The sequence below is a fragment of the Homo sapiens genome, chromosome 9 (assembly GCF_000001405.40).
Source record: "Homo sapiens chromosome 9, GRCh38.p14 Primary Assembly".
NCBI lineage: Eukaryota > Metazoa > Chordata > Mammalia > Primates > Hominidae > Homo > Homo sapiens.
In genome coordinates this window covers 113259635-113265634 of record NC_000009.12, presented here as the reverse complement: position 1 = coordinate 113265634, position 6000 = coordinate 113259635, and the positions used below count along the sequence as shown (strand labels likewise).

Below are 6000 nucleotides of genomic sequence, written 5' to 3'. Positions count from 1 at the left end.
GAGGCCGAGACGGGCGGATCACCTGAGCTCAGGAGTTCAAGACTAGCCTGGCCAACATGGCAAAAACTCATCTCTACTAAAAATACAAAAATTAGCCAGACATGATGGTGTGTGCCTGTAGCCCCAGCTACTTGGGAGGCTGAGGCAGGAGAATCACTTGAACCCAGGAGATGGAGGTGGCAGTGAGCCGAGACTGTACCACTGCACTCCAGCCTAGGTGACGGAGTGAGACTCCATCTCTAAATAAGAAAACTAAGGCTTAGGGATCATTAGACTAACTTCCTAAGGTCATACTGCTAGTAGGTGATGGAACCAGAATCCAAACTCATTGACTCCTCTAAGTCCATGTTCATGACACTACACTCGGAAGAGACTAGGAATGGTGGTGATGGCAAGATGCCCACTGGGGGCCAGTGGGAAGAGCAAGTAACGTCAGCATTTTGGCATTACCAAAGGGACTGGCAGGGTCACTGTGCATCTCAAGGTTGGGCGGTGAACTTCTTATAGGCCCAGCTCAGAGCCTCTTGCCTAACAGCAGACACAGGGAAGGGATTATGATGTGACAAAAGTTGGCTTTTAAACTGAGGAATCCTCAGTATACTGAAATACTTGTGGCTTCATGAAGACCCTGTCTCCTGTGCAGAAGGTCACATGGATCTTCTGGCATGTACTAGGCATGTCATTTTAAGTCGAGTAGGGGGAGAGTGAGATGAAAACCTAAAAGGATCATACCACCTAAAATACGGACATCTTTTTTTTTTTTTTTTTTTGAGACGGAGTCTCGCTGTGTTGCCCAGGTGCAATCTTGGCTCACTGCAACCTCTGACTTCCGGGTTCACACCATTCTCCTGCCTCAGCCTCCCAAGTAGCTGGGACTACAGGCGCCCACCACCAGGCCTGGCTAATTTTTTAATATTTTTTTTAGTAGAGACGGGTTTCACCGTGTTAGCCAGGATGGTCTCGATCTCCTGACCTCATGATCCACCTGCCTCAGCCTCCCAAAGTGCTGGGATTACCAGGCGTGAGCCACCGCGCCCGGCCACAATATGGACATCTTAAAAACTGATGGTAATGGCCAGACTCTATGCAGACTATGAAAAGACTAGCTTATTGCATTATCACTCTGGGCAGAAAGACTTGCATAGAATCACAAAATCAAAATATTTATTTTGTTCTTTTTCATATGACACTGTTAAAACATTCCTACTACAGCAATACTGCTCTCCAGGAGCTTACAATCTAAAACAGTCAACATTAATTGTAGACCCAGTAATTAAGGCATTATATCAAATGCAGACTTTGTATCTTTTTTTTTTTTTTGAGACGGAGTTTTGCTCTTGTCGCCCAGGCTGGAGTGCAATGGCGCCATCTTGGCTCACTGCAACCTCCGCCTCCTGGGTTCAAGCGATTCTCCTGCCTCAGCCTCCCGAGTAGCTGGGATTACAGGCATGCACCACCACGCCCAGCTAATTTTTGTATTTTTAGTAGAGATGGGGTTTCACCACATTGGCCAGGCTGGTCTCAAACTCCTGACCTCAGGTGATCTGCACCCCCGCTTGGCCTCCCAAAGTGTGTGAGCCACTGTGCCCAGCCCAGAGTTTCTATCTTTTGATGTATCTTTTGAAGGAGCAGCTGGAGAGGGCAGGATCAAAATTAAATCACATGAAAGTGTACTCCCCTCCGCCTGCTCCTTATAAGGAACCCCTTATGACTAGAACCCAAGACCAGTACCCACAGCCTGAAAGGGAATTTCAGACAACCCTACCATAGAAGTAGTGAAGAAACCTTAATTTCTAATCTCCTAGTGGATACAGTGAGGATTCCATTTGTGGGCAATGGGGATGCTGGGAGTTCCTCCCTCACAGACTAGAGACGGCACCTAAGATTCTGTAACTCTGGGAAGGGTACCAGCCTTATAGAAATTCCAGTGGGTCAACTGCCTCTTGAAGCATGCTTAAAGTCTCTTAACAGGTTTATAAATGCCAATTTCTGGTTGGTATTATATCCACAGCATAGCACTGTCTACTGCATCAGGAGGGCTATGGAGACTTAATATACTAGACATGCGATTAAAAAAACTGAAAGAAAAGGGAAAGGACAACAGAGTAAGGGGGCCAAAGAAATGGTGATGCAGTCTTCTAATAGATGTGAATGGGGAAGGAAGAAAAGAGAAGTTTAGATCCAAAATGAACAAAGAAGTCAAGCATTAAATTCCAAATGAACAGGTATACAGAAATGAAAAGTTAATGAAATCATTGTATTATCACAATCCAAGAGCTCAAGATGGAATTTAAGCTTTTTCTCCTTCACTAGCTTCATCCTTTGGCAGCCAGTCTAAGAATCTCTGAAATTCAGGTTTTTCAGGAGATTATCTCTATCCTGAATACCTGAAGACCTAATCTAAACTGTTATTTCTTTCTGTGAATTTCAAAGTCATAGCATTTTGTCTTAACTGGCCTTGAATTTTCTTTTTTTCTGAGACAGGGTCTTGCTTTGTCACCCGGGCTGAGTGCAGTGGCGCAATCATGGCTTACTGCAGCCTCGACCTCCAGGGCTAAAGCAATCCTCCTGCCTCAGCCTCCCAAATAGCCAGGACTATAGGTATGCACCACCATGCCTGGCTAATTTTTGATTTTTTATAGAGATAGGATCTCACTATGTTGTCCAGGCTGGTCTCGAACTTCTGGACACAAGCCATCCTCCCACCTTGGCCTCCCAAAGTGTTGGGATTACAGGCATGAGCCATTGGGTCTAGCTGGCCTTACTGATTAGGTTTTGTTGCTGGGAGGGTATTCTATAGCAGCTCATGCTGAGATTTCTAGAGAGCACCAATGTCACTACTAACTATTGATTCCTATTTATTTCTCATGGTTTTATGACTCCTTGGCTTTAGACAACAGGCTGTATTATACCTTTGTGTTGGACTTCGTCAGTACCTGTCATTCACCCTGCTCATGTTAAGTATCATCATTACAAAGTGATGGAATGAGAGAAAAGCACAAAGCTCTAAATGTTGGTTCTTGGATTTTAACCTCAATCCAGTAGGCTCATAACCCTCTCTTGGTTCAAAGCCATACAAGTCCACATTCCTTGCTCTCCAATATTTAACTGGCACCCACAGAGAAAGTACAAACTTCAAAACCACAACACAGGCCAACAGGATAGCTGTGTTTTGTTTCCTCTGCCCTGAGGCACAACTGGATCTAGCACCAAGGAGGGCAGGATTTAACAGACCAGCACAAGACAAATCAATTTAAAGAGGTAGTTTGAACCAGGAATAAGACTGCAGTGTAGACTACAACTGAACAGAATACAAATCCAATGTGGTTCTTCACTGAGAACAGGGGTTTTGGCCACTTGTAATGTAATTAAACCCCCACGAATAACAAAGATGATTATATGGAGGATGAGGATCTGCTTGGTATAAGCACAGTTGTTGGAGCCTGAGGAAAACCTGGCCATCAACAAACCACAGCCTGAGTCTTTCCAAAGAGAAAGCTGGGCTTTTGCCCTTCTGGCCCATGACTGGTAGATTTACACTGCAGATCAAAGGTCTCTCTCAACAATCAAACTACTTCCAAGAAACCATAGACCTTTAAAAATAAGGACTAGTGATTTCATACAGGCTAGTAAAAATACTTTGGCTATAGCCCTTCACACATGTGTGCTTGGGTACACATACACACAGGTGGAGCTCAATAAATGTGGAATGATTAGGTATTGATCAGCAGTATTTACTACGTGAGTTAAGTCCAGACACACCATCTACCAATCAGCAATTCAAATTTCCATGCCCAATACCAGGCAGCCAACCCACCAGGCAATATTTCCTTAGCTTAAAGCACAGATTCTCAAAAGTGTGGTCCCTTGTAACATCAGCAGGAACTCAGAAGTGCCACTTTGGGGGCTTTTGGGTTGAGGCCCAGCAATTAGTGTTTTAACAAGCCCTACAGGTGATTCTGATGCACGCTAAAGCTTGAAAATCACAGTTTTAGAGGCAGACATGCGAAAACATTATAATGGAAAAATTAATTCAAACTCTCTTGCTTCACTTCAGCTGGGACAAACCAAGGTATCAAGACAAAGTAAACTGTGAATGGTTTTATTTAAAAATATCTATTTCTATTTTCTCAAATTGATTGTCATTTTTTGATTGGCAAGTTCATGCTAATCAAAGTGTTAAGTGGGAATGCAAGTCGATGCATCAGCCATCCAAGAATACACACTCTGCAAGTTCTAAGCCTGTATTTAGTCTCAAACCACCGCTCTGCACACTACAAAGATTTTGGTATAACGTATCACATCTAGAGAAAGGCACAATGTATTTCCCACTCATTGAATCCAAAAGCTGGACCTTCTTTTCTTTTTTTTTGAGATGGAGTTTCACTCTTGTCACCCAGGCTGGAGTGCAATGGCGCCATCTTGGCTCACTGCAACCTCCGCCTCCTAGGTTCAAGTGATTCTCCTGCCTCAGCCTTCTGAGTAGCTGGGATTACAGGCGCCCACCACCATGCCCGGCTAATTTTTGTATTTTTAGTAGAGACGGGGTTTCCCCATGTTGGCCAGACTGGTCTCGAACTCCTGTCCTCAGGTGATCCAGCCTGCCTTGGCCCCCCAAAGTGCTGGGATTACAGGCATGGGCCACTGTGTCCGGCCCTGGACCTTATTTTCTAATGTTAAGTTTGAGTTCTGGGTTTAGTTGGGCAAGAATTTCCCTCAGCTGCCATCAATCCTGGCTGAAGTTAACCCCTTTCCATCACTGACCCAGGGGAAAAAACCACCAAATTTACTTACTATCTGTTAAAAATTCAAAAAGGAAGCAGATGATCAAGTCATTGAACAAAAAGCTACATGGATTAGACAAGAACATATAACTTGGCTCTAAGATGATGGAGAAGGAAAAGACATCTCATGGGTGGCTTCTCCTTAAGAGAAATGGGAATCTCAGCTTATTAGAAAAAACAATTTGGGAGGTTACTACTTTAGTTCAGAGACTGTAAACTAAACCTCTGTTGAGCAGGGGTGTGTGTGTGTGTGTGTGTGTGTGTGTGTGTACGTGCACAAAGAGGAGCAAGAAGGGATGATTGGAGCAGGAATCACGTCTTCAAGTCTTCAACAACTTCCCACTGCAATCGATAAGGCCACGCCATAGAGTTTGATGTCAATGGCAATGCTCTGTGATATCCACTACCACTGCCTTCTTCCAGCTGAAGAGGAAGTATCCTGTACCGGCCCCTGCTGCTACTGCAATGCAGAGGTACCCGTTGTAGGTCATGAAGATGAGCATGAGGAAGTAGCTTATGACCACCTGGATGATGTGCAGCACTGTTTGCAGGAGGTGAGGAAAGCTCAGCATCTGTTGCCTGGAGAGTAAACAGGGACACAACAATCAGGGACTCCTAGGAGTTCTGCAGATCAGGAGAAAGAGGGAAGAGTTCTTGCCATGAGCTCAGCTGGAACTGGACAGCCACTCTGGCAACTCATGGGTACTTGAATGTTCTTTGATTGGTCCATGGAAATGAAACAGCACAGGGCTGTCAGGCTTATAAACATTGGCCAGATATGGCTGTGGTTCCTCCAGTAGAAGGAACCCTTTTCCGGAGGAGGAGAAAAGGACGAGGAGTAATCCCGACTTACCTCCACCTTAGATCCTGAAAGGGAAGCCGTAAACCCTCTCACGCTCATCTGCCCGAATATTTTTAGGCTTCCCACCTTTGCAAAGTTTACATTCTACAAAAACAGAAACAGAGGCTGGGGGTGGTGGCTAATGCCTTTAATCCCAGCACTTTGGGAGGCCGAGGTGGGCTGATTGCTTGAGCTCAGGAGTTTCAGACCAGCCTGGGCAACATGGCGAAACCTTGTCTCTACAAAAAATAAAAAAAATTAGCTGGGTGTGGTGGCTCATGCCTGTAGTTCCAGCTACTTAGGAGGCTGAGGTGGGAGGATCACTTGAGTCTGGAAGGCAGAGATTGCAGTGAGCCAAGATAGTGCCACTGCACT

General features: G+C 45.0%; 1 protein-coding gene across 1 annotated transcript in view; it reads right to left on the bottom strand.

Annotated features, from left to right (window-relative positions):
* Positions 1–1142: 1142 nt before the first annotated feature.
* The window catches only part of SLC31A1 (solute carrier family 31 member 1), a 42949-nt gene continuing 38091 nt past the window's right edge, over positions 1143–6000 (bottom strand). Inside the window, exon 5 of the mRNA NM_001859.4 lies at positions 1143–5363. Within this exon, the coding sequence (NP_001850.1) occupies positions 5162–5363 (202 nt within the window). The 3' untranslated portion in view covers positions 1143–5161. The remainder of the gene's footprint in view (positions 5364–6000) is intronic.